Source organism: Homo sapiens, chromosome 1 (genome assembly GCF_000001405.40).
Source record: "Homo sapiens chromosome 1, GRCh38.p14 Primary Assembly".
Taxonomy (NCBI): Eukaryota; Metazoa; Chordata; class Mammalia; order Primates; family Hominidae; genus Homo; species Homo sapiens.
Window position 1 is genome coordinate 52,402,614 of NC_000001.11, and position 27,976 is coordinate 52,430,589.

A 27,976-nucleotide genomic window follows, 5' to 3' on the forward strand; every position below is an offset into this window, starting at 1 on the left:
CTTATAAAATGCACACAAGGATAAAACAGAAATACAAAGGCTGGGCGCAGTGGCTCACGCCTGTAATCCCAGCATTTTGAGAGGCTGAGGTGGGTGGATCACCTGAGGTCAGGAGTTCGGGACCAGCCTGGCCAACATGGTGAAACCCCGTCTCTACTAAAAATACAAAAATCAGGTGGGCATGGTGGCAGGCAAATCACTTGAACCCGGGAGGTGGAGGCTGCAGTGAGCCGAGATCGCAACACTGCACTCTAGTCTGGGTGACAGAGCAGAACTCTGTCTCAAAATAAAAAAAAGAAAAGTAGATGTTATTATCACTTCAAGGTGATAACTTATCCTATCTTATACAGGATGGCACAGCCTTAACTCAAACCCGGAAAAGCCAGACTGCAATTACTGTGCTCTTAACTACTTCACCTTACAACACACTGTGTGAAACTGGATAATGTTAATATGTAACTGAGAGCTTGCTTTTGGTGTACTTATTACAATAAATCAGGCTTCCCAGCCACTGACTGAACATTGTGGATTGGGCCTCAATTTGCTTACCCACAAAATGGAGAAAATAGAATCTTCCGTTTATTCAACCAATATTTATTAAGTACCCATCGTGTGCCAGGCACTATTTTAGGATAATGGAAGATTAAGTGAAAAAATGCAAAATGGTAAATCCACTTTCCCACTACCTTAATCCCTTGCATTTATTTGTAAGGTACAGTGGTTTTATTTATTAAGTATCATTTGATGAATACTATGGAACTAACATAATTCAAGCAAAATTTTGCATTCAATTTCGGCAGATTCACAAACCTCCTAAAGTCCACATATTGCCCTCCATTAAAGTTAAAAACTGTTGCAAAGGGACTTAAACCATTCTGTCATATTGGAAACTCCTTTGGCATTTCCAGCCCACCTAACACAGCAGAGACGAGGGTACTATTATTCATGTGTTACAGACAACTAGAATCGTATATAATCATTGCAGTTTCACAAATAGATCAGGATAAGAATGCCTTTTCCAACTGTCACAGCAGAAGACTCTTCAATTCCGGGGTTAGAAAAGAGAAGTAGGAAGGGGGCCACCAGACTTCTCTTCTGAAAAGAAGGTGAATGACAGACAGCCCAGCAGTTAGGAGCTCATCTGAAAAAAAGATCTGGGTAGGAGCCCAGACTGCTTAGTCACGAAAAGCGACCTAAGACACGTCCCTCCCTGGGCGCAATTTACGTCCGTAAAATGGGGTAATAACCTCTGCTCCGCCTTCCCTGTAGTGGTTCCTACACTATAGCTCAAAGAACGAAACAAGTAGAGTGCTTTACAAATGCAGATGGAGGGAAAGTCATCACTGAGCATCAGGGTGCGGAGGGCAGGAATGCTCCTGCTTCTAGGCTGTTGGCTTCCGCCTTCCCCCCTGCAAACTCAGTTCCCTGCAGCGCGGGAAGCCTTTTAGGAATCGGAGTGTGGAACAGAGGAACGCTCTTAACAGTTCAGAACAGTGCCTGGCACTGAACAGGCGCTTGGTACATGTCAGCTAAAAGAATCAATGACTGAGTCTACAGAGAACGTCCTCAGTTTCAGAGGTTCCGATGCGCCCTCCCCCGAGTCCCTCGCAGCCCGCTGGACGCCACACTCACCCGGCTCCAAAGCTTCCTCCGGCTAGCCGCAAGCCCTCCGTTTCCTACCGCCTCCACTTCGAGAGCTCCGGGGGATGCGGCACCTCTAACCTGCACCAGCAGGGCTCCTTCTACAACTACGGGCCGAAAGCCAGGACCAAAGCGTGTGTCTCACTAGAAATGAAAAGAAGGTGGAAGGAGAAAAGAAAACTTCGCGCCAATCGGCGTGGCCCCGCCCCCAGACCGTCCCTTCGTTGCGACACCAACTAGCTCGCCCCGCCCACTCCGTACACCTAAGAGGGGCGCATGACGTACATCCGCTAACATGCAGCCGCCATCATTGATTCGATAGGCGACGCGGGGAGCGGAAGCCCTTTACACTACGGTGTTTCCGGCTTCAAGATGGTCGCCTAAGCTGTTTAGTGAAACTTCTTCCACCTTTCTCCATTCCTCTAGGTGCTTTTTCTGAACCTGGATGTGAGGCATTAAAGGATCCGACGGAAATAGAATTGAAGGCATTCTAAAATGGCTAACCGTACAGTGAAGGATGCGCACAGCATCCATGGCACCAACCCTCAATATCTGGTGGAGAAGATCATTCGAACGCGAATCTATGAGTCCAAGTACTGGAAAGAGGAGTGCTTTGGACTTACAGGTAAGTGGAAGCGCGCGGAGCGCCTCTCAGCCCCCTTGTGGCCCATTTCTCCTGACCGAGCGCGGGTAGGACTAGCGACTGGCCTCTGGGGGTGGTACTGGAACGGAGTATGTCGATCATTCAGAAAAATTTTGAGTGCCTGCTAAGTGCCTCGTCTTGTGTTGAGTATTAGAGGCACAGATGAATCTGGTAAGGTCATATTCTGAAGGCTGTCTCAGTTGGGTGTTGTGAGTTATTCCGTATTTAATGATAGCAGGCTGGGTTGCAACAGTGTTAAGCTCAGGGATCCGGATATAACACTTTGACACAATCTGTTGAAGGTCTTTAAGGACCTAACGTTAATATGCCTGAAACCAAATTCATGATCTTACTATTCTTAGATCTGGGCCGGTTCCAGTATTTATAAATATCAGTGCTTCAGAGAAGTCTTCCAGGTAATCTTCCGATTTGAATTGTGGCTTTAAATCCATGTCCTGTGACAATCTGTGGACCTTGAGCAAGTCACTTTACCTTTCTTAGCCCTCATTTTCCTTACCTGGAAATAAGAACATTGCTAGAACTTTCTTCATGACTTGTTAAAAAAGGTTAAGTGAGATAATATGAAAAGCTTAGCAGGGTACCTATTTTATTATCCATTCTCAATGTATATTAGCTGTTGTCGTTACTGTTATTAATACACATTCGTTCTCCTAATATTACACTGTTGATGTATATTTAGGAGAACCAAAGCTTGAACTAACTCCACTCCAACTAGGAAGAGCTTAGCCCTAATATGTTACTGTATTGTTTTTGTTTTTTAGCTGAACTTGTAGTCGATAAAGCCATGGAGTTAAGGTTTGTGGGTGGCGTCTATGGTGGCAACATAAAACCAACACCCTTTCTGTGTTTAACCTTGAAGATGCTTCAAATTCAACCCGAGAAGGATATCATTGTAGAGTTTATCAAAAATGAAGATTTCAAGTGAGTGCAATGTTCACTAGCTAATATAAGAGGTTTAATTTTGGCGGTTTAGAATTGGGCTTTGGTTAAGAGGGGTGTACACAATGTATCTCATTTCTAGAGAGTTCCACTCCAGATTTTTGCTTTTGAGCCCTTGAGTTTGTATTTTTTGTTTGTTTTTTGTTTTGGAAACAGAGTCTCTCTGTGTTGCCCAGGCTGGAGTGCAGTGGTGCGATCTCGGCCCACTGCAACCCCCATTTCCTGGGTTCAAGTGATTCTCCTGTCTCAGCCTCCCGAGTAGCTGGGATTACAGGCATGTGCCATCACGCCTGGCTAATTTTTGTATTTTTAGTAGAGATGGGGTTTCACCATGTTGGCCAGGCTGGTCTCGAACTCCAGACTTCAGGTAATCCCCTCCCCCCCCGGGCCTCCCAGAGTGCTGGGATTACAGGCATGAGCCACCACACCCTGCCAAGTTTGTATTTTATCTGTTCTGATTGTATTAATCTTCTACTTTACTTTCTCAGTTTTGGTAATTTTTCCCTGAAAAAGGATTTCACAGATTCACTAAATACATATTAAGCAAAAGTGAGTGCCTGATATGTTGGTAGGCACTGGACGCTCAGGGGTGAAAATCAAACAACAAAAGGTGGTGGTTAAGAGGTGTAAGATCTGGGTTCACATCCAGATTCTGTTGCCCATTAACTATGACATTGGAGAGGTTACTTAATTTTCTAAACTTTGCTTATCTGTAAAATGGTGACTATAATATAAGAGTGAAAGAACGTAATGCATGCAGATCTCTGAACACAGCACTTGCTGCATGGTAAACACCTAGAAAATGTCAGCTTATTACCGTATTACCGATTCTCGAGGAAATCACAAACAAGTATAGGAGACAGACATAATAGCTTCTTATGTGCCATGCTGTAAGGGCTTTGCATATAATAATTCATTTCACTTTCACAACAACCTTCTAAACTTTTAATCCCTATTCTACAGGAGAGGAAACTGAGGCACAGAGATTAATTAATTTTGCCCAAGTTCAAACAGCTAGTAAGTGGCAAATCTGGCTTCAGAGTTCATATTCTTTGCTACAGTATTCTGCTTCTCGTACAAAGAAACTATGACTTTCAAAAGCCTCCTAGTTACCCAAGAGGAAATTTAAGTAGTTAGATATAGGAAAAAGGGAAGAGGAACAACTCTTTTTTTTGTTTGAGACAGAGTCTCGCTCTGTTGCCCAGGCTGGAGTGCAGTGGCGCAGTCTCGGCTCACTGCAAGCTCGGCCTCCTGGGTTCATGCCATTCTCCTGCCTCAGCCTCCCAAGTAGCTGGGACTACAGGCGCCCACCACTACACCCGGCTAATTTTTTGTATTTTTACTAGAGACGGCATTTCACCGCGTTAGCCAGGATGGTCCCGATCTCCTGACCCGGTGACCCACCTGCCTCGCCTCCCAAAGTGCTGGGATTAGAGGCGTGAGCCACCGCCCCTGGCTGGAACGACTCTAATAAAGCATTAACAGCTAGAAAATACCTAACTTTTGTTAGGCACTTACTGTGTGCTCTGTGCTATACTTAGCACTTTCAATGCATTTCTTGTTTATATACCAAGCCATAAATTAGGTAGCATTATCTCCGTTTTACAAGGATTGAGAAAACACATGATTTGACCAGTAGTGTCACAGACTTAGTAAATTACGGAGTCAGAATTTGAACCCAGATGACTTACTTTTTTCCAAAACCAGCAGTCATGTTTATGTGTACTTGTTCTTGTATTGTTATTAAATATATCTTCTTTCTGTTTTAAAATTCAATATATGGCCAGGTGTGGTGGCTCACACCTGTAATCCCAGCACTTTGGGAGGCCAAGGCAGGTGGATTGCTTGAGGTCAGGAGTTCAAGACCAGCCTGGCCAACATGGGGAAACCCCGTCTCTACTAAAAATACAAAAATATGCCAGGCATGGTTGCTAACACCTGTAATCCCAGCACTTTGGGAGGCCAAGGCAGGCAGATCACCTGAGGTCAGGAGTTTGAGACTAGCCTGGCCAACATGGCAAAACCGGTCCCTACTAAAAATACAAAAATTAGGCTGGGTGTGTTGGCACATGCCTATAATCCCAGCTACTTGGGAGGCTGAGGCAGGAGAATCGCTTGAACCCAGGAGGTGGAGGCTGCAGTGAATTGAGATCGTGCCACTGCACTCCAGCCTGGGCAACAGAGCAAGATTCTGTCTCAAGAAATAAATAAATACATAAATAAAAATACAAAAATTAGCTGGGCATGGTGGCGGGCGCCTGTAATCCTCGCTACATGGAGGCTGAGGCATGAGAATTGCTTGATCCCAGGAGGCGGAGGTTGCAGTGAGCCAAGATCGTGCCACTGCACTGCAGCCTGGGCAACAGAGCAAGACTCTGCCTTAAAAAATAAAATAAAATTCAGTATTTCTTTTGATTCTTAGAGTAATCCTGTGAGGTAAATAGGTTTTATTCTAGTTTTACTGATGATATATTTGAAAGTTGATCAATATGTATGATGTTCCCACAGCCATAAATGGTAGCATGGGAACTTGAACTCAGGTCTCCATATTTTAGCTGTCTTTCTTCTGCTGCATTCTACCTCCACAATTGCAGCTTTCTTACCTGCCAAAGAGAAGAACATGTTTATCCACTACTGTCATGAGAACAGCTAGTTGTAAAACTCAGGAACTTCTAGGATGGCCTGTTGTTTCACTGTCATCTGTCTCTCAGGTATGTCCGCATGCTGGGGGCACTTTACATGAGGCTGACAGGCACTGCAATTGATTGCTACAAGTACTTGGAACCTTTGTACAATGACTATCGAAAAATCAAGAGCCAGAACCGAAATGGGGGTAAGTATGGTGCTAAGTCTCCTGATTGTCATTTTTAAGCCAGTTTTTATTTTACCAGTACTTCTACCTTTGCATTGTCATAGACAGTGTGAATGCTCCTTTTCATCTACATTGTTACTGTCTCTATGCAGGTTTTCCCTTGTCCCTCATGGGAGTTTTCAGTCTGACTACTAGCTTCGTGTTGGCCTTACCCAGCCTGCCTCTGTCTGTCTCCCTTTCCAAGTGCATCTTATGTTAATCCCTGCCTTGCATCATATGCCCCCTTTACATGTGCTCCATCCCAAAAGATCTAGCTGCAGAATGGCTTCTCCATAAAAACCTTCCCCAGCCCTCTCAGACAAAATTAGTTTTCCATATTTTACATCTTCACAGTTCTTTCTACTGGCCTCTCCTCTAACACTGTAATTCACACTGCAGCATATAAGACTACTCATTTTTATACAGGAATCCCACTGAAAAATAAGTATATCCAAGAGAGGCAGCTCCATACCTTCTACAAGGAGATTACTTAATGTGCTAAGGAGGGATTCCAGGTAATGCAGTCAAAACCTTTTCTCACTTGGTGTCATAACAGAAGATAGGAACATTTACCTTTCCCCCTACATGTATCATTAAACAGTAGAAGGTTAAGAATTTGGGGCCAAGCACGGTGTCTCACACCTCTAATCCCAGCACTTTAGGAGGCCAACATGGGCAGATCACTTGAGGTCAGGAGTTTGAGACCAGCCTCGTCAGTATGGTGAAACCCTATATCTACTAAAACTACAGTAATTAGCAGGGTGTGGAGGTGCACACCTGTAATCCCAGCTACTCAGGAGGCTGAGGCAGGAGAATCCCTTGAACCAGGAGGCGGAGATTGTAGTGAGCCGAGATCACGCCGCTGTATTCCAGCCTGGGCGACAGAGCAAGACTCCATCTTAAAAAAATAGAATTTGGTATTATACTTTAAACTTATTGATTCATTCATTGAATAAATACATATTAAGTGCCATTGACATGTCACATACTGTGCTATGTGGTGTAAATACCATGGTGAACAAGATGGACATGGTCATGGCCATGATGGAGTTATTTATTTATTATTTTATTACGTAAAACTAAGAATTTCTGAACCTATTGACATTTTGGGTCATATAACTTTTGTGTGAGGATTGGCTTGTGCATCATAGAATGAGTAGCAGTATCTCTAGCCTCTACCCACTAGATGGAAGTAACACCTCCTTCTAAGTAGGGGGATGGGCATGTGCAAAATTGCCCATGGTTGAGAACCCCAGAAGTAAGGTAATGTTTACCATGGAAGTTCTCAAAAGCTATATATGTATATGTATGTATGTATATATATGTATTTGTATATGTGTATATACACACACATATATATACATTTTATAATTATATTTACATACAAATATATAAATATACATAATCATATATAATTTATATATAACATAATTTATATATAACATAATTTATATATAATATAAATTGCCTGTAATCCCAGCTACCCAGGAGGCTGAGGCAGCAGAATTGCTTGAACCCGGGAGGCGGAGGTTGCAGTGAGCCAAGATTGCACCACTGCACTCCAGCCTGGGCAAAAGTGAGACTCCGTCTCAAAAAAAAATTTTTTTTCTAACTCTAGCCAAAAACAATATTTCCTTATTAAAAACACCTCAGCTCTGCCATATACTAGTAGTATAATCTTACGCAAATTACTTAAATTTAGTTTTCTCCTATGTAAAGTGAGGTTAATGATACTTTTATATATATATAGATGTATATATATATATACACACACACACACATATATATAGACATATAATTTTTTTTTTTTTGAGATGGAGTCTCACTCTGTTGCCCAGGCTGGAGTGCAGTGGTGTGGTCTCAGGTCACTGCAACCTCTGCCTCCCAGGTTCAAATAATTCTCCTGCCTCAGCCTCTTGAGTAGCTGGGATTACATGTGCCCACCACCATGCCCAGCTAATTTTTGTGTTTTTAGTAGAGATGGGGTTTCGCCATGTTGGCCAGGCCTGTCTTGAACTCCTAACCTCAAGTGATCTGCCTGCCTTGGCCTCCCAAAGTGCTGGGATTACAGGCGTGAGCCACCACTCCTAGCCAGTTCTCAAAAGCTATCACTCCATGTGCCATATAAGATACATGTTCTAAATTCAGAAACATTGAAGGTTCAGATGAGAAATTATATTTAAGTTATATGATCTCTTCAAGATCATCCCTACATAATTCAGGACTGTTTGTGCTTGTTTTTGTGTTTGTCTCCTGCTAATTGGGACATCTTCATTCATCCCTTAATCTCTTCTAAAGAGGCCTAGCACATAGATGTCCTGATATGAAGTCTTAACACTTCTTTTACTTTTTGGCATCTAAATCTTTTATTTCCAGGTTGTTTGCTCTAATGACTTTTTCTTGCAGAGTTTGAATTGATGCATGTTGATGAGTTTATTGATGAACTATTGCACAGTGAGAGAGTCTGTGATATCATTCTGCCCCGACTACAGGTAAGAAATAAAAGTCTGTTACCAGAGTCACCCTTCTCTTCCTAGACGGGCAGACAGACAAACACATACACACAGCTTAAACACTGAAGCCTGTGGATCTTATGGGTCCTCTTAATGAATAGTCTTCCTGTCTGGGAGTCCCAAGATAGTGGATTGGGAGTGAGAGGAAAATAGATAAAATATTTGAAGGGTAGGGCTTTAAAAGTGAATGGTTTAAAACAAGGAAACTTTGTTTTTCTCCATCCTTTTGTAGTTCAGGTGCATGTGTGAGTTGTGCCTCCCTCAAACCTTGTTACAAAGTCAGCACATTACCTGTCTATCATGAAAAAAGAAATTTATTCAGGATGTTACATCAAGGGTATTGTAGCTAGAGTAGGTAGGGAGTTTTTAACTTCATGAACGTTTTTTTTAAACTAATCTTCATGTAAAAAGCCAGGACATAAAACAGATAAAAATAGGGCCAGGAGTGGGAGACTGAGCCATTAATTCCTTAAACTTGCCTTCACCATCCTGCTTCCCTTTCCTAGTGATAAACGATTATCCATGAGGCATCTTTTCAGGAAATGAGTGTGATACAGCTCTCCTGTTCCATGTTGGCACTGTAGGGCATGTAGTGGAAAGAATGAGATTATAAATTTGAAAACCTACTTTGAGGGCCCAATTCTTATAGCAAGACAATGTCTTGCTGTGTTGCCCAGGCTGTTCTTAAACTCCTGGGCTCAAGGGATCTTCCTACCTCAGTCTCCCAAGGAGCTGGGACCACGGGTACATGCCACTACATTTAGCCATTTGGCATTTTTGAAATCAGCTTTGCCTCTCTGATCCTTAGCCACTCAAATAAACATTGCTAAGCCATATCCCAGATTAAAATGGAACCAGTTCAAAATGCATGAATATCAACAGCTCCCGAGATCCTGGGTCTACTGGAGATTTGGTACTACTCTAGGGCTAGGCCTCTTCTAGTGGAACTACCAGCCATGAACTTATTAGCCCTTGGATTTTCTCTGTGTGTGAAGCCCTTACTTTTGGTTCTAGGCTGTACCTATACTGATTGATATTCCCATGACTTTAGAGTATAAGGTACAGGGAATAGAGTCAATAGAAAATGAAGATGTTCTCTTCAGGTTTGTATTTATGTTTATAGGAGAACTTTATAGATTTCAGGTCTATTAAACTTGTTAGGAAAATCTTGAACTGTCTTTGAAATGAAATTGCCTCAGCTGTTGCTCCTTGGAACCCTGAAGCCCAGTGTTGAGGTTTCAAGAAATAGGGGAAATGGCAACAACCCCTAACTCTCATCATTTTCTCTGTAGAAACGCTATGTATTAGAGGAAGCTGAGCAACTGGAGCCTCGAGTTAGTGCTCTGGAAGAGGACATGGATGATGTGGAGTCCAGTGAAGAGGAAGAAGAGGAGGATGAGAAGGTCTGGCACCTGAGACTTTTATGGTTGTAGGGGAGGGAGTAATAGAAAATGGGAATGGTTTTTTGTTTTTAGACTTTAATTTTTAACTCTATTGGCCGGGCGTGGTCGCTCAAGCCTGTAATCATAGCACTTTGGGAGGCCAAGGCGAGTGGATGACCAGCGGTCAGGAGTTCAAGACCAGCCTGGCCAACGTGGTGGTGAAACCTCGTCTCTACTAAAAATACAAAAATTAGCCAGCGTTGTGGTGGGTGCCTGTAATCCTAGCTACCCAGGAGGCTGAGGCAGCAGAATTGCTTGAACCCGGGAGGCAGAGGTTGCAGTGAGCCAAGATCGCAACACTGCACTCCAGCTTGGGCAAAAGTGAGACTCCGTCTCAAAAAAAATTTTTTTTCTAACTCTAGCCAAAAACAATATTTCCTTATTAAAAGCACCTCAGCTCTGCCATATACTAGTAGTATAATCTTACGCAAATTACTTAAATTTAGTTTTCTCCTATGTAAAGTGAGGTTAATGATACTTTTTTCCCCAAGACTGTTAAAAGTATTAAATAAGATTATAAACTTAAAGCCCTTAGCAGAGTATTGGCACATTATAATTGCCTAATAAATGGTGGCAGCTATTAAATACTTGGAAAGAAAGAACACTTTCATAATTGCACCTATCCTAAGGAATAAACCTTGTTTAGGAGGGGGAAAATGTCAACCGCATAGTCATGTTCTTTCAGTACTAGTTACGGTGCTGAAAAGTTGAAAACAACCAAGCTGCCCAGTTGTTCCAGGAAGCAAACTTTTTTTTTTTTTGAGATAGGGTCTTGCTCTGTTGCCCAGGCTGAGGTGCAGTGGCTCACTGCATTCTCGGCCTCCCAGGCTCAAGCAGTCTTCCCATCTCAGCCTCCCAAGTAGCTGGAACTACAGGCACGTGCCAGCATACCTGGCTAATTTGTGTATTTTTTTTGTAGAGATGGGATTTCACCATGTTGCCCAGGCTGCAGATAAACTAAACATACACACATACACACACACAGGTCTGTTTCTGTTCCCTCTCCTATGAGTCATTTTGGCTGTCTTATATAGCTCATAATAAGTTTTGTTAGTTAATAGGGTAAGTGCTTCCCTCTTTGTAGTCAGGTTACTGTGCTTTAAAGTCACATGGAGATGGACTTTGGGACAAGATGGGGCGTGAAGTATAATTAGTGTTCCTAGATGGCTCTTTATAAGCCTGTGCCTTTCAATGACCCAATCATCTTGTTTCCAGTTGGAAAGAGTGCCATCACCTGATCACCGCCGGAGAAGCTACCGAGACTTGGACAAGCCCCGTCGCTCTCCCACACTGCGCTACAGGAGGAGTAGGAGCCGGTCTCCCAGAAGGTAAAGCCTAGTCATTGGCCTTTTCCCAGAAGATTTTGAGCACTGTAGCCTAGAAGTTTGGATTTTAGAGAAGGAAAAATGCACGTCTATGGAGAATGTTTGCCCAATATATTAGTTATCTGTTGCTGCAAAACAACCACCTATAAAACCTCATTGGCAGACAACAATAACCATTTGTTCCTTTCACAAGTCTGCAGTCAATGATTTAAGCAGAGCTTGGATAGGCAGTTTTTAAAGTACCTGTTCTGTTGTCGGCTGTCTACTGGCTGGTATGGAATTGCCTTAGCTTGGATGACGGGGGAAATTTCTCTTCTCTGTGTCATCCTCTAGCAGGCTAAGTTGGGCATATTCTCATGGTAGTGGCAGAACTCAAGAGCAAACAAACCCGGTCATGCAAATGTTTTTCCAGTATCTGCTTTTATCACATTTGCAAATATCTCATTAGCCAAAGCGAGTCATGTCACCAGTCCTAAAGTTAGAATGGGAGGGTGCTAGAGTTACGTGACAAAAGACATGGATACAGAGGTGGGTGATACAGAGAAGCGTGAAGGATAAGATTGGGGCCGTTTTTGCAATCTACCACATCCAGTGCGCCAACCTAGGCTTTCTTCTTCCTCTCCTCTTTATAGGCGGAGTCGATCTCCCAAAAGGAGAAGGTAGGCCTTCAGTCATTTGTGATGAAGGATAGGGCTTTGGGGAGGGGGTGGTGGTATTGGTGTTATATGTATATTGCTAACCAGATCTGGTAGTCTGACCAGTCTTTTCTACAGCCCCTCCCCTCGCCGAGAAAGGCATCGGAGCAAGAGTCCAAGACGTCACCGCAGCAGGTCCCGAGATCGGCGGCACAGATCCCGTTCCAAGTCCCCAGGTAAAGCTTGTGGGCCTTTTGCCACAGGTTGTCTTAACAAAGAAATGTAAAAGGAGTAGTTAGCCTCCTGCAGTACAGGAGTGCCTGACTGTACTGCCTAACAGAAAAGCAAATGGACATAGAATTTGAAAATTAAGGTTCACAGCTTGACTGTCACTTATAAGCTTTGCTGATAAGGTTTGCTTTAGTTTTTTCATCTAAAATTGGAGGAATAAGATCTAACATAATAGTGAAAACCCAATATGATGTTTGTGAAATTAGTCATAAAGCCCTTGAATGTATATGTATTTGAACTGGTTTCATTACTACTTTCTTTGCTCCCTCTTCCTCCACTAATTCAGAGTTGCTTCCACTAAGAGGTGTCCCCTGCATAGGCCAAAAGAATATTAAGCCAATGGCAGGTATTAGGGGAGGTGAGAATGACAGTTTAATAAGAGTAGAAGGGTAGGATCTTATGCAATGGCCTTTTCTTCCCCAGGTCATCACCGTAGTCACAGACACAGGAGCCACTCAAAGTCTCCCGAAAGGTAATGAATTGACCTCTATTTTAACTTTACAGAAATAGTCCAAATTACAACTAACTGGACCTGAAATTTTCTTGTTTTGTTGGGGGATGTTAGGAATTCTCCTGCATTACAAGACAAAATTGGTCTATTGCTTTGAGAATTACTGGGGTTAGATAACTTTTTCTTTTTTCTCTTTTTTGAGAACTGAGTTTCGTGCTTGTCTCCCAAGCTGGAGTGCAGTGGCGTGAACCTGGCTCACTGCAGCCTCTGCCTCCCGGGTTCAAGCTGATACCTGTTTTGCTTTACAGGATTGCAGCTTTGGACAATGGATGAGCTTTGGTCTCAGAAAACATGGGGTTTAGTCCCAAGTTTTAAAACTTAACAGTTGAGTGACCTTGGACAAGTCACTTTCATTTGATAAGATTTCATTAGAAACCCCCATGTGCCATATACCGTTGGGTGCACTCTTTTTTTTTTTTTTTTTTTTTTTTTTTTGAGACGGAGTCTCGCTCTGTCTCCCAGGCTGGAGTGCAGTGGCGCAATCTCGGCTCACTGCAAGCTCCACCTCCTGGGCTCACGCCATTCTCCTGCCTCAGCTTCTCGAGTAGCTGGGAATACAGGTGCCCGCCACCACCCTTGGCTAATTTTTTATATTTTTAGTAGAGACGGGGTTTCACCATTTTAGCCAGGATGGTCTCAATCTGACCTTGTGATCCGCCCACCTCGGTCTCCCAAAGTGCTGGGATTACAGGCATGAGCCACCGCGCCGGGCCTGTTTGGTGTACTCTTAACCTCTAAGAGGTCATTTCCTCAATGGTAAAATTTGGATAGTAATGCCTGACTCAAGAGTGTTGCTCTGAGTCAAAAAAATACCAAGCAGTTTAATGAATATTGAGTGTCAGCTCCATCCCCATCAATGTCAGCATACCAAGGTCTTTCTCAGGACTCCTTTTTTTTTTTTGAGATGGAGTCTCACTCTGTCATTGAGGCTGGAGTGCAATGGCCCAATCTCGGCTCACAGCAACCTCCACCTCCCGGGTTCAAGCAATTCTCCTGTCCCAGCCTCCTGAGTAGCTGGGATTACAGGTGCCCGCCGCCATGCTCGGCTAATTTTTGTACTTTTAGTAGAGACAGGGTTTCACCATGTTGGCCAGGCTGGTCTCGAATTCCTGACCTCAGGTGATCTGCCTACCTTGGCATCCCAAAGTGCTGGGATTACAGGCGTGAGCCACCGTGCCTGGCTGCTTCTTAATATAATTATTTATATGTGTTGCCATTTCAGGTCTAAGAAGAGCCACAAGAAGAGCCGGAGAGGGAATGAGTAATGGACTCAGTTTGGTTTTAGTCCACATGGCCTCCTGTGGATATAAGGATATCTGTATGTGGAAGGATTAAGATCTCCCCCAGGCAGCTATAAGAATATTTTAGTTTTTTTCTTATCAAGTTTCTCAACCTTTATTTTTAATGAAGGAGGTGCTGAGTTTTGTATCTTTTTAATCATAATCAACATCAGTTTTTGACCCAACTAACCTTGACTGTATTCAAACTTATGAGAGTATAAAGGATCTGGAGGTTGGGGATATGACTGACAAGGAAAGGCTGTGGCCACCTGATGACCCTTTCCCTTTTTATTAAACCGGACACACCTGTTTCCCATTTCGCTGTAGTTTAGTTTTTGGTTTGTTGTGGTTGGAACTGCTTTGAGAATCCTGGGATTTGTGCTGCTGCTGTTATTCAAAGATCAAAGGAGTAAAACATAGTTGCTCCTAACTTTTTTCCAGCAGCAGCAAGTGGTAATAAACATGAAAACTGGTTTGTAGCAGTTTTGAAAGAATAGAATGCATTCAAATGTAAGGCTGCTTCTGGATCATTAAAGCCAGTTTCATCAAACAGTTCAACAGAGAGCAGCACTTAATACCCTTTATACAGCCCATTTTTTCATAGTTTCATTTGTTCTTGCCCACAAGCTTGAAATCCAGGTTAAGGTATCCAGCCTTTATCATATAAGCATTGACATTATCCAGGCCTAGTCAGTAGCAGTAGGGTAACGGGATTGAAAAAGATTTGATGGAGAGGAAAGTATCTAATATTAGTCATGGTTTTGACCTAAATTGCTAGACAGTCGTGCCATTCACAAAGTCAGAAAATACAGCAGGAAGAGACAGCTTTTAGAGGGGCAGAGAATTAGAGGATGGTGGTAGTAATGAAAATGATGCATTCAGTTTAACAAGTTTAATTTGAGACAGCTATGGTATAGCTAAAAACAAAAGCCCATAAAGTTGGAGATAGGGACCAGAGTTTAACATAGCGATCTAGGCCAGAATTGACAATGTTTAAGTAATGGTGGAATCTGTCAATAAGACTTCCCAGAGTGTTAATATATATCAGAAATGCACACAACAGAACCATAGGCAACACCAACACAGGAAGAAATAGAAGTCACCTATTGAAAACTGGAATGGCCCATTCAGAAAGACAGGAGAATTAGGAGAGAGTGAGTGAAAGAAGCCAAGGGTCAAGAATGCAGAAGCAAAGGAAGGACTAAAAAGCCTCCACGGACATCGATAATCAAGAGATTATTAAGATCTTTGCTAGAAGAGTTCCTTTACCTGTACTTAACTCCCTTAAAAAGAGAAAAGTGATGGAATGACTTCTGCAACTGTAGTCCCAGCAGGAACTGTGAAGACCAGCTGCCCTGCAGGATCCAGTTTTTCTTGGGAGGTTGTATCTGGTCATAAGGTAAACATTCTATATATTCTATGCCTGCTCTAGAATTGAAAGACTTCAGCAGTATTAAAGCATTTTTTAATCTTATTTGAGCTTTCATATTCTTCAATGGTTCCTTTCGTAATACCTGAGTTAATAAAAGTGGTCTGAAAGAGCTCTTACGGTTTCTGATAGAACTATATAGGACTACCTTTTAAGATTAAATATAAGCATCTGTACGTAAATGTATTACAGTGTCATAGCAGTTATTTCTTTATGAAAGTGATCTAGGTAGAAAGAAATGTCTTCTGGCATGGACAGAAATGACCCATGGACCAACCAAGCTGTCATCCAGTACACTCTTAAAATAAAACTTTGTCTTAAAATATGTTTTAAAGTAAAAATAAACCCACGCACAAAGCCCAATAAATTTTAGTAACAGAAATAAACCTCCCTAAACAAACATTAAAACATACTTGTTTAGACATATGGTAATATGTGGACCAAAATTGAGGTACCACAGCCAATCAATAGCAGGAAAGAGAATGTCCCTATTCTTTAATTAGAAGAAGGAGGTAAGAGTAAGACATGTTGCATGTCTGTAGATATCGTTTTGATAAAATTACACAGGAGATGGAGCTTGAGGACAAACCTTGCTGTAAGGCTCTTTCTGTCATCTATGTGCTTGCCTATGGATGAAGCATTTTAAACTTTTTGACTACAGCATACATTTTAAAAACGTATTTTACATCTTACCTCTGTACACATCTGTATTCTGTACTGAGACAAATTTCAGGAAAGAATACTTACTATGCAAAGTGAATTCTGGTGTTTCCTACTTGTTAACAGTTTTTAATATTGGATGAAACCACTTAATCGATTTCACTTCCAATAATTTGAAATACACTGACTTAAAAGCTTTGCCATAGGGCACAATCGCCTTTTAATACTAAGAAAGTAAGGGAGATGTGTTCCAAGGGGCAAAAGAAATAATGCATTTTTGGCCAGGTGCGGTGGCTCACGCCTGTAATCCCAGCACTTTGGGAGGCCGAGGCGGGCAGATCACCTGAGGTCGGGAGTTTGAGACCAGCCTGGCCAACATGGAGAAACCCTGTCTCTACTAAAAAATACAAAATTAGCCGGGCATGGTGGCGCATGCCTGTAATCCCAGTTACTTGGGAGGCTGAGGCAGGAGAATCGCTTGAACCTGGGAGGCAGAGGATGCGGTGAGCTGAGATCGTGCCACTGCACTTCAGCCTGGGCAAAAAGAGCGAAACTCCATCTCAAAAAAAAAAAAAAAAGAAGAAGAAGAATGGGTTTGGTGAGAGGGTTCCAATATTAACAACCCAACTTCAAGCTCATTCCTCTAACCTCTTCCTGTTTGTTATTCTTCAGTAGACCGAAGTTTAAATAAGCATTATTTAGAAAAGAACGATCACAGATTGCCCACTCCCTCAAAAAGGTTAATGTGACAGAAATTCTCCACCTGCTCAAAAAAGACAGCAGACATGATCTCTTTAAAAAAAAAAAGTTCAAAAGAGATTAAGAGATGAAAAATAAGATTGGTGGAGTTTAAAGGCCTTATACTAGAAACCACAAAACATAAAACAGCACAGAGAAAATAGGCTGGAGGAAATAAAAAATGGAAAAGAGAAATATGTAGAATAAAGAAATATTCTGATGGTTTAAAAAGAATTGGCCGGGTGCGGTGGCTCACGCCTGTAATCCCAGCACTTTGGGAGGCCGAGGCAGACGGATCATGAGGTCAGGAGATCGAGACCATCCAGGCTAACACAGTGAAACCCGTCTCTACTAAAAATACAAAAAATTAGCTGGGTGTGCTGGCGGGTAGAGCTACTAGGGAGGCTGAGGCAGGAGAATGGCGTGAATCCGGGAGGCGGAGCTTTCAGTGAGCCGAGATCGCGCCATTGCACTCCAGCCTGGGCAACAGAGTGAGACTCCGTCTCAAAAAGAAAAAAGAATTAAATGGGGTCAGGATGGTCTCAGATCTTATAACAAGAAGGCAATGAAGCAAAAGGCTCCAAAGGTTTGAGAAAAAGTGCCAGGAATTTTATACTTTGCCAAAGTTGTCTTAAAATACAAAGGCTATAGATGTTCTCAAGTTTGTAAGAACTTAAAAGTACAAATCATGAGTCTTTGGGAAAAAACCGCCCAATAATGAAATTCAACTAAAGAAGAAATGAATCAAATTAAGGACTTAGGAACAAAGAATCAGTAAAAGGAGTGTTAGTAAACACTTCAGAAACTTTAAAAATAATGGGCAATGATTATAAAGTCAAATATTATGAACACTGTCTATATAGAAATAACAAGTAGAGTGTGCTGGTTTCATCTTTCATAGCAGGAATCACGTACAGTCTCTAATTAAAACATACATGAAGCTAGAAAAAAAAATAGCCTCTTTATTGTTTTCCGTAATTGTCCTTAATTTTAGGAGAAATCTTACAAGACTAGATTCTCTTGTGGGGAAAAAAGTATTTAAATTGAGCATTTTTTCAGTTTCACACTTGTTTTCCTTTTGTTAATTTGCTATATTTGTTAAATATAGCATATGAGCCCACTTTTGTAAAACTATTTGTATATATGTGCCTGTATGATTAAGAGAGATGGTTGGAATGAATGAAGTTCACCAGATAGTACTTCTTTCTGGCTGATGAACTTTTGAATGATTTTTAAACTTTGTACTTTTATATAATGCTTATTTTCTTTTTACAATAAACATGTTAATTTCTACAAGGAAGAAATGAGTTGTTGGGAGTTAAAAGCTTTTTTATAAGCATACCAACACATTTTACGTATTGTTTGCTGGAACTACAGATTGATAACCACTTTTATGAAGGGCAATTTGGCAATATGTAGCAGGAACCTTAGGACTTTTGATCCTTTTACCCAGTAATCCCATTTAGGGGAATTTACCCTAATAGAATAATTACATGTACACACAAATAGCTTTATCCCATCATCATTTTACACATTACATATATAATATGTATATATAAGAATAACTGGAAACAGCAAAAATGTCCATCTGTAGGGGATATAAACAAATATACAGTACATATTTATATTTTTAATAACCCTAATGTCAAGGGAAAATACTAATCTCCATGTCATTAAACAGAACATTTCAAAACAATTTGGTCTTAAATGTGTGTGTTCTCCCTGTATAAGATTGATAATTTTCTACTTAACTGCTCTACAATGAATCTGAACTCATAATCTACTTTGCAGACTTAAAATCTGAGTTTCTACTATATCAATTTTAAACTATATGTTTTTCAACAGAACAGTTTTGCCAATTATTGAACACTGGCAGTTACTGAAGGAGGGGCAAATGAGATGCTGAAAACTAGTATCTATAACACTATCATATAAGTAAAACCTAGGCTGTTGGTTACTAGGTTGCCAGTTAATAGGTTTTGCCAAGTGGTATTTTATACTGCCTTCCTTAAGGAAGAAAGGCTGAGGGGTTGGGGCATTCTGTTATTGGAAGTTGTTTTATTTTTAATGAATATTTCAAATACAATCCTCCCCTTGGTATCTGGTGGGGGGTTGGTTCCAGGACCTCCCGCAGATATACCAAAATCCAAGGATGCTCAGGTCCCTGATATAAAATAGTGTAGTCTTTGCATATAACCTATGCACATCCTCCTTTATACTTTAAATCATTTCTAGATTACATATAATGCCTCATACAATGGAAATTCTGTGGGAAAAGTTGTTATACTGTATTGTTTAGGGAATAATAACAAACTGTACAAGTTCAGTACAGACACAGTTTTTTTTAATATCTGCAATCCGTGGTTGGTTGAATCCATAGATGCAAAACCCATGGATATGGAGGGCCTACTGTATGTACAAAAGTAAAGAGAATAATAAACACCCCTGTATACGTCATTACCTGTTCTCCAAGATGTGGAAGGACATGAAGTATTGAATGTTAATTTAAATCTTGAATGCTCCAAGTCATTTTAACATGAATGCATAGTTGGGTCAGGTATCTTGTTAATAAATGATTTAAGTCCACCACTTAATAGGATTCTGAAAGATGCTGACGCTTTAATAAGAAAAAATAGTAAATATACCTAACTCAGGTTAGGTAAAAAAAATAGTAAATATATTTAACTCAGGGCTGTAAATACAGCATGAATACCCTCAACCTCCTGCAATAGGTTTCAAATATCTTCCATGTTGCAAAATATGGCAAGGGCCCAAGCAGTCTCCTATTTAAGTAATGTATATCAGAGGAAGCGCAGCAAAGATAACCCACTGTCCTTACATTTTTATCTACTTATTCTGCACCTTTCCAAATAGATATATAGCATCATTTAGCCTAAAATCCCAGGCAACTGGACGGACTAATTAAGGGGTTAGAGAAAATTACCTCACCTCACTGCTAAAACAGCTAAAACATTATGCCACCAACAACTCGAGTCTGAATTCCAATACCCAATAATAATTAATTCCAAGTATTACTGGTAAATAATTATCATCTTGGCAAGTGTGCTTTCCAGGTGGAAGTATAGGACTCAAAATGAATACAGTCTGGGCTGGGTGCAGTGGCTCAACGCCTGTAATCCCAGCACTTTGGGAGGCCAAGGCAGGTGGATCACCTGAGGTCAGGAATTCGAGACCAGCCTGACCAACATGATGAAACCCCGCCACTACTAAAAATACAAAAATTGGCCAAGTGTGGTGGTGCATGCCTGTAATCCCAGCTACTCGGGAGGCTGAGGCAGGAGAATCGCTCAAACCCAGAAGACAGAGGTTGCAGTGAGCCGAGATCATACTACAGCACTGCAGCCTGGGTGACAGACAGACTCTATCTCAAAAAAAAAAAAAAAAAAAAGTAATCTTCCCTCCACTCTAATTGCCAATATTAGTCTCAGTGTTTTAAAATTCTCTTTCCAAATACTTTTCAATTCAGACTCCAGCATTGTTTGCTTTTTGGAATTTACTGACTGCTTTGCATTTCAGTTTTTATTTTCAAAGATAAAATGGAAATGGCTTCCGCTTCTATCAACCTCATATGGGTGTTGTGAACATCCAACCAAATAAAGGATATGAAATGTTACTTGAATCTCTAAAACTAAAATCTGTGATTTAGAATGCTCTATTCACTGAAATTAAAAGAAATCTTGTTACGTAATATTTCCATCATCTATACAACAGATTAACCAAATTTAACTCTTGTCAAAAAGATTTATTAACTTAAAATAGAAGTACTTCAAATACAGACAAAATCAACTTTCCATTCAAGTTTGAATGTTCAATATACAAGTATGGAAAAGAAAAAAAATCTGAATCTTCATGTTGTAATTTTATTTTATTTTTTTACCTTTTAAAAAGTTTTTGGCACTACAAGGTTCTGTAAAGAATAGAAGTGACAATTTAAAACACATGAAATTCTTTCCTAACTTTTAAGAACAATATATAAAGTCTGAAGCAACCAAAGTATGAATACAGCTAATAGAAAATAAAGAATGTAATTTTTTAAATTCTCTCTTTATACAATTCATCAAGGTTAAACAAAACATAAAATTCCCTTAAAAATAGGGTAATAAAATAGATGAAATTTGTATCACTCAATTTGGTGATACTAGTAAAAACTATAGTTCATATTTATATACAAATAATACAGTCTGTAAAAACAGTCTTAGAATTTAAATAAGCTATCTAAACGTGTTAAAATTTTAAATCAGGACCTGATTTGTTTTGCTTTCCATTAAATGTCACTTTTTCTGCTGAATGTAACTGACATTGAGGTACGGATACCCTTGAGACAGCAGGATTGGCTGGTTGCTGTGCATCGGTAGACCAGCTGAAAGAAAATGGACTCGCATTACTCCGACACGTTTCCTCTTGGTGGGTGGGGACAACGCTCTCTACACCGACGGGTGGCACATCTGTCTGTTGGATACAACACAGACAGGAAACTGAAAGGCTTGTGCCTGTTTATCTGACAACACCTTAGAATTAACTTGTAGTTAGCTTTCTTTTTTTCTATTTATATAATAGGAGGTGATAAAGCATGCTGCAAAACATTTGAGAGGGTGGGGAGAAAAATGAAGAAGGGAAGGAAATACCTGTATGTGAAAAAAGGAGAGGACACGAAAGATGGAGAGGAGGAATCAAAGGGAAAAAACCCACTAGAAAAGAGTTGCAGACTCTCCCCTCCTAAAAGGGCTTATGACTAATAGTAACTTCCTTCAGCCCCAGTTCTTTGCTCAAGAGAAGAGCTCAACCACAGTCAAGGCTCTGCCACTCTACAATACAGGGATGCCCCAGTAGTATATGGGTGGTTTAAGAAGGCTTAAATATAACAAGCCTGAGACCATACCAGGCACTTCCCCTTTAAGTTATCATTTCATTCAATCAGCATTTCCTGAGTGCCTGTTTTAACTTCTTGAACTCCTAGTTTAACTATACTGACTCTGACCCAAGTGTTCTGAACTAAGTTAACAAAGAGCTGAAGGCCAGACTCAGACAATGCCTATAAGAACAAATACCTCTGAGGCAAGTAGGTTAGATAAAATGCTCCAAGTTTCTAGGAATTCTTTGTTTGTAATATTCATTACCCAGTCAAAGCCATTATTAGTACTACAATAGCACCAGCAGAACATAATAAATTTTAAGGTCATTCAAGTCCTACGTTTACTAAACAAATATGATTATGTCTTCGTTCCACTAAAAACCTTTAATTAGGTCCCCAATGCTCAGTAAACCAAGTCCAAACTCCATAATATGGTCTAAGCCTACCCTCTCTAGCCTTATCACCATCTTTCCCATATACCTCCGTCCTCTAGCCCTAATATTTTCTACTCTTTTTCATTATGCCAGGCAAAACTCAGTGACTGCATATATTAATCCCTCAGCTAAGCATACTCCTCCTCCTCTCTCATCTCTAGGCAAAAAAAAAATTCCTGCATCTCTTTCAAGATCTAGCTCAACTGTCAAAATCTTGTGATGTAATAATCTTAAATCCACATCCTGTTTGGATTTGCTAGGGCAATGTTAACTGATTCATCTAAACTCCTTTTCTATTTAACATGTCTGGCTTTCCTAATAAAGTGTGCATCAAGTAATGGAGATTTTGTTTTACAAGCACCTAGCACCATCTGACACACAGTATAATTTCTCAGTAAATGTTTACTGAATTCATGAATTTTCACTCCCAGATCCTGGCCTTCACTAAGGCTCTCTATCCCAGAATAAAACCCACCCAAGCCTGTTAACTAATTTGTAAGCAGTGGTACCTTGAGTATAGAAAGGTTTGTTGGGCTGGAATCGGGCATTTCCCTGATGCATGAAGTTTTGATGCAAACCATAAGGCCACGAAGCTGGGACAAGGGGGAAATGGGGACGCGGTGCATGTTCCCAAGGAATTGGAGGAGTCAGTCCTCGAAAGCCTGGCTCTGCATTTCAACAAGAGGGAAAAAGACATTTAAAAACATTAGTTCATTCATTGAAATATCCCTTCATTCCACAAAGATATATTCAGTACCTACCATTGGCTAAGAACTATGCTAAATTCAGAGAATACCAAACAAACTTTTTTAAAGAATAAAGCATTGGTATTTGCTCAAATTATTCATAAGAGACATACAAGAAGAGATATATATATACACAACAATATGTAATAATTGCTAGTAGAACAGGCAAAATGTTCTGAAGAGAGGGCTAACCCAGTCTTTGAAGGTTAGAGACAGTCTTCGTAAGATGATTGACTAATATGAGTTCTAGAAAACAAGGAAAAATTTAGGCAAAATAGGGAGGGGGTGGGGGGCATTTCAGAGAGAAGGAGTATCATGTACAAAAGCCTGAAAGCAGGAAAGCACATCAAGTTTGGGGAACTGCACAACAATCTGCAACATAGAGACAGGAGTGATGGAGGAAGTGGTAAGAGAAAAGGCGGGACAGGTAGGTGGGGATATACATTTCAAAAAACCTTAGTACATCATGCAAAGGAACTTAAGATTTTATCCTAAAGACAATGCCAACTATCCCAGAATCAATTATATCTTGGCCTGGAAGGAGATCCTATTACAAGCTTGAGGCATTGTGGCATAATGGTTGAGAACTTGGGCTTTGAGGCCAAACAAGTCTAAGCTCAAATCTCATTTCCTAAAACTACTAAGGTTCCATTTTGAACCTCAGATTATGAGGTTTAAATTGGATAACCAAAAGAAAGTAGCTTGCACAAGAGCTAGCATATAGGTAGGTACTCAAAAAATGTAAGTCCTATTCTTTTTATGGCTAACTATCCCCCCAAATCTATTTCCCTTTAAAATGTATCTTTAAGTACATTTTTCGAAGTGCAGTACCCAGTTTATATTCTGGATCATTCTGGTGGCTTTTCTCATTCAGAGTCACAGTGTGCTAGGGAATAAAAGGGAATAACTGCCCTTATTCACTAAACTTCTCAGCAGGAACTCAAATTAAGTACGGGATAGGAAAGAGTAGGCAGCAAAAAAAACTAAAGCCCGTGTGAACTGCATTCTTAGAAGCTGAATCTTCTCAGAAAGTAAGCAAACCAGCTAGTTCACTGTGAATTCATAAAAGCCAAGTTACAACTAAGGGCTGAATCTGAAGGGCTCAGGGTTTACAAAAATAAGTGAAACTGGTATATCCAGAATTAGGTCATAACCAAATGAGAAATGATGTTTTAACATAAAAGGGTATTTTTAAAAGATATATTCCAATCCCCTTTGCCTGTTTTTCATAACCCAAAATTTCCAGAAAATGAGTAATACAATCTCATTAAAGATAATTTGAAAAATGGGGGAAAAAAACTCATAATAATCTCCTCCGATACAACTATGATTATTATTTTAATATATTTCCATTCAGTCCTTCCATTTTCAACACAGTGTAACTGTAGCTTTAATAACAATTATGAATTGAGTATCTATACAATGAATAATATTAAGTATAGCTTATTAGATAATAATACTATATAACAGGAACATGGCAGGCTACTAAAGAGAAAACTAAACTCACTACTAGACAGAAAATGACAGACAAAAAACAATTTTTTGCTTCTAGAAGTTCAGTCTAATGGGTTATGCAGATGAGTAAACAGACAATTTCAGCACAGTAAGACAAATGTTATGATATGAATACTAAGAAAATGAGGATTTCCTGAAGAAAGTGATCTAAATTTAAAAATGGAGGATGAGTGAGTTAGCCAAGCTTTGAGGCAGCACAGAAGAAGGTGAGAGTGAGCAGCAGAGGTAACGGAGAGGACATTCCAAGCAGAAGGAACAACTTAGATAAGCAACCAGGGGTAAGAGATAGTACAGTATGTTTGTGGGACATTAATTAGTTCACTATGACTAAAACACTGAGAACAACAAGTTGCAGGGGGATGGAAGACTTCAAATTATAAAAATGGAGCTGATACATCAAAGGGCAAAACACTGGGTCTGTCTTCATGGTTCTATAACTCAGTGACTATCACAGTGCATGTCATGGCATATACACAATAAACATGTTGAATGATATATGAGAAGGACCATGTATGCCATATATCCTCTGATCTTAGAAATCTAATTAAGTTACCATATTCTGGCATTTTTGCTCAGCAAAATACCTTACTTGCATTGTTCCAAAAGAAGCTGGAGACAGCAAAATAATGGATACTGGCAACAATTATCAATGGCAGCTAAGGCTATTAAGTAAAAATGATGAATTTGATAATGGGTAAAACAGGCTGATAAAACCTAACTCACAGATCAATCTTAAGTCACTAAAATAGTTACAACCAGACAGTAAGTTCCTTCTGAAGTGAGGAAACTGGAAATACACGGACCCACCAAGCAGCATTCTTACCAACAGAAAGAGCCTGAATCTAATCCAGTCTCTGAATCTAAATCCCAGTTTACAGGAAATACAGGGACAGAGGTACACATTAAATGATGCCACAAAGACATAATCAGCCAACTCCAGAATATGGGAAATTCTACAGTGCCTTATAGTTAATATCGGAAAAAAAACAGAAGCAGCAACTGTTATAAAGGACAGTTAAGAGAGATAAAAATCAAAGAGATATAAAAACCAAACACACAGTTTTAATTTTGATTCAAATAAATCGATAATAGGAATACTTTTTTAGGCTGGGCACAGTGGCTCACGCCTGTAAATCCAGCACTTTGGGAGGCCAAGGCAGGCGGATCATGAGGTCAAGAGATCGAGACCATCCTGGCCAACATGGTGAATGAAACCCCATCTCTACTAAAAATACAAAAATTAGGGCCAGGCGCGGTGGCTCACACCTGTAATCCCTGTACTTTGGGAGGCCGAGGCAGGCGGATAATTTGAGGTCAGAAGTTCAAGACCAGCTTGACCTACATAGTGAAACCCCGTCTCTACTAAAATACAAAATTTAGCTAGGCGTGGTGGCAGGCGCCTCTAATCCCAGCTACTTGGGAGGCTGAGGCAGGAGAATCGCTTGAACCCAGGAAGCGGAGGTTGCAGTGAGCTGAGATCGTGCCACTGCACTCCAGCCTGGGTGACAAAGCAAGACTCCCTCTAAAAAAAAAAAAAAAAAAAAAAAAATTCCGGGCATGGTGGTGCGCACCTGTAGTCTCAGCTATTCGGGAGGCAGGAGAATCACTTGAACTCAGAAGGCGGAGGTTGCAGTGAGCCGAGATTGTTCCACTGCACTCCAGCCTGGCAACAGAGCGAGACTGTCTCAAAAAACTATATACTTTTTTAGATAAACAGGAAAAACTGAACAAGGACTGGGTATTAGATGATACTAGGTATGGCAATGATCTCATGTTTTTTTTAAGTGACACAACTGAAGTTAAAAAGCAAATTTGATGCAATGTCTGAGATTTGATCAGTCAAGTCAAAAATATTTTTAATGGCTAGGAATCCGATAAAAGAATAGCAAATTATTGATAACTGTTAAAGTTGGTTAATGGGGAGGGGGGTTCATTATATACTTTACTGTCTTTTGTGTATGTTTCAAAATTTCCATAATAGGTTTTTTTTTTTTTTTTTTTGAGATGGAGTCTCGCTCTGTCGCCCAGGCTGGAGTGCAGTGGCACGATCTCGGCTCACTGCAAGTTCTGCCTCCCGGGTTCACACCATCCTCCTGCCTCAGCCTCCCGAGTAGCTGGGACTACAGGCGCCCACCACCACGCTCAGCTGATTTTTTGTATTTTTTAAGTAGAGACGGGGTTTCACCGTGTTAGCCAGGATGTGCTTGATCTCCTGACCTTGTGATCCACCCGCCTCAGCCTCCCAAAGTGCTAATAGTTCTTAAGATAAAAATAATTATCACTAAAAAGTTGGGCATAAGTCAGGCACAGTGGTGTGTGCCTGTAGTCCCACAGCTACTCAGGAGGCTAAGGCAGGAGGAGCACTTGAGCCCAGGAGTTCAAGGTTGTAGTATGCTAGATTGGCCTGTGAATAGCCACTGCACTCCAACCTGGACAACACTTTGAGACTTTGTCTAAATATATATATATATATACTTTTTTTTAATTTTATTTATTTATTTATTTTTTTTTGAGAGAGTCTCACTCTGTTGCCCAGGCTGGAATGCAATGGCATGATCTCAACTCACTGCAACCTCTCTTTCCCTGGGTTCAAGCGATTCTCCTGCCTCAGCCTCCTGAGTAGCTGGGATTACAGGCATGCATCACCACACCCGGCTAATTTTTGTATTTTTAATAGAGACAAGAGTTTTGCCATGCTGGCCAGCCTGGTCTTAAACTCCTGGCCTCAACTGATCTGCCCACCTCAGCCTTCCAAAGTTCTGGGATTACAGGTGTAAGCCACAGTGCCGGCCTGTGTATGTTTAAGTGTGTATAAATATTTATATGTATGTGTGTATATATGTGTGTGTGTGTGTGTCTATGTATTTTAAAGCTGGATGTAAAACTAGATTTATAGCATGTATCAACTATTTTCTTAAATATGCAGTTTTTTTTTAATGACTGAATAGTAATACACCAAAATATTCCTTAGTATTTATGTCTAGGAATTGAGATGATAGATGATTTATTTCTCAAATACTCTATAATGAACATTTATTACTTAGATATCAGAAAAAAAACTATTTTTCTTTTTTAAAGAATTGTTCCTGAGAAAAAATAGTGTCTAGGGCATGCAGCAGCACGGTTTTGAACAAAGAAATTCGTTTAACTCTTGGACCTACCATCATTAATTTTTTTGGTTTCCTTGATCTTTTTTTTGTTTGAGACAGTTCTGCTCTGTCGCCCTGGCTGGAGTGCAATGGCGCAATCTCGGCTCACTGCAACCTCCACCTCCTGGGTTCAAGCGAGCCTCCTGCCTCAGCCTCCCACATAGTTGGGATTACAGGCGTGCACCACCACACCCAGCTAATTTTTGTATTTTTAGTAGAGATGGGGTTTCACCATGTTGGCCAGGCTGGTCTCGAACTCCTGACTTCAGGTGATCCACCTGCCTCCGCCTCCCAAAGTGCTGGGATTACAGGCATGAGCCACCATGCCCGGCCAACCTAC

The 27,976-nt window shown here is 40.6% G+C and overlaps 3 protein-coding genes and 1 pseudogene across 57 annotated transcripts in view, besides 3 other annotated features; 2 read left to right on the forward strand and 2 right to left on the reverse strand.

The window, feature by feature from the left end:
- ORC1 (origin recognition complex subunit 1) overlaps nt 1-6,890 on the reverse strand; it is a 36,675-nt gene extending 29,785 nt beyond the window's left edge. For 5 of the 6 annotated variants that reach the window (XM_047421680.1, NM_001190818.2, NM_001190819.2 and 2 more), the window contains exon 1: nt 1,633-1,810. The gene's annotated coding sequence lies outside the window, so the exon portion shown is untranslated. Of the gene's footprint in view, nt 1-1,632; nt 1,811-6,872 lie in introns of those variants that run through there. The other variant, XM_047421674.1, reaches the window with a different exon arrangement.
- Nucleotides 1,309-2,508: an enhancer, noted in NCBI's record as "MED14-independent group 3 enhancer chr1:52869594-52870793 (GRCh37/hg19 assembly coordinates)". NCBI's record gives its function as "activates an origin of replication core promoter dependent on BRD2, BRD4, P300/CBP and CDK7 cofactors, and independent of MED14, by STARR-seq in HCT116 cells {active_cell/tissue: HCT116}" and the evidence as "EXISTENCE:reporter gene assay evidence [ECO:0000049][PMID:35650434]".
- On the forward strand, nt 1,989-18,223 carry PRPF38A (pre-mRNA processing factor 38A). Its single transcript, NM_032864.4, has 10 exons — nt 1,989-2,266; nt 3,067-3,226; nt 5,956-6,077; nt 8,502-8,587; nt 9,901-10,011; nt 11,266-11,378; nt 12,008-12,034; nt 12,149-12,246; nt 12,725-12,773; nt 14,035-18,223. The coding sequence occupies exons 1-10, from the start codon at nt 2,137-2,139 to the stop codon at nt 14,075-14,077; spliced, it is 939 nt and encodes a 312-aa protein (NP_116253.2). The 5' UTR covers nt 1,989-2,136; the 3' UTR covers nt 14,078-18,223.
- LOC124904850 (uncharacterized) lies at nt 8,829-8,909 on the forward strand (annotated as a pseudogene).
- Nucleotides 14,244-14,538: a silencer, noted in NCBI's record as "tiled region #15542; HepG2 Repressive non-DNase unmatched - State 15:Elon". NCBI's record gives its function as "represses a minimal TATA promoter and a strong SV40 promoter by Sharpr-MPRA in HepG2 cells {active_cell/tissue: HepG2}" and the evidence as "EXISTENCE:reporter gene assay evidence [ECO:0000049][PMID:27701403]".
- Nucleotides 18,224-20,661: 2,438 nt separating the features above from the next.
- The window catches only part of TUT4 (terminal uridylyl transferase 4), a 130,189-nt gene continuing 122,874 nt past the window's right edge, over nt 20,662-27,976 (reverse strand). For 27 of the 50 annotated variants that reach the window (XM_017000804.3, XM_047416327.1, XM_047416326.1 and 24 more), the window contains 2 exons: nt 22,736-22,894; nt 20,662-21,389 (listed from right to left, as the gene is read on the reverse strand). In XM_017000804.3, the coding sequence (XP_016856293.1) occupies nt 21,322-21,389; nt 22,736-22,894 (227 nt within the window). In that variant the 3' untranslated portion in view covers nt 20,662-21,321. The remainder of the gene's footprint in view (nt 21,390-22,735; nt 22,895-27,976) is intronic. The other 23 variants (XM_047416324.1, XM_005270678.3, XM_011541097.2 and 20 more) reach the window with 1 other exon arrangement.
- Nucleotides 21,267-21,316: an enhancer, noted in NCBI's record as "active region_1032". NCBI's record gives its function as "activates an Ori minimal core promoter by ATAC-STARR-seq in GM12878 lymphoblastoid cells {active_cell/tissue: GM12878}" and the evidence as "EXISTENCE:reporter gene assay evidence [ECO:0000049][PMID:35858748]".

What these genes read in the sequence shown, in the direction of transcription:
- PRPF38A (NM_032864.4), top strand. Translation starts at nt 2,137, where the DNA reads ATGGCTAACCGTACAGTGAAGGATGCGCACAGCATCCATGGCACCAAC. An exon ending in AAGAAGAGGAGGATGAGAAG is followed by an intron (nt 10,012 to 11,265) that starts GTCTGGCACCTG and finishes TCTTGTTTCCAG; the next exon opens with TTGGAAAGAGTGCCATCACC. An exon ending in ATCCCGTTCCAAGTCCCCAG is followed by an intron (nt 12,247 to 12,724) that starts GTAAAGCTTGTG and finishes TTTCTTCCCCAG; the next exon opens with GTCATCACCGTAGTCACAGA.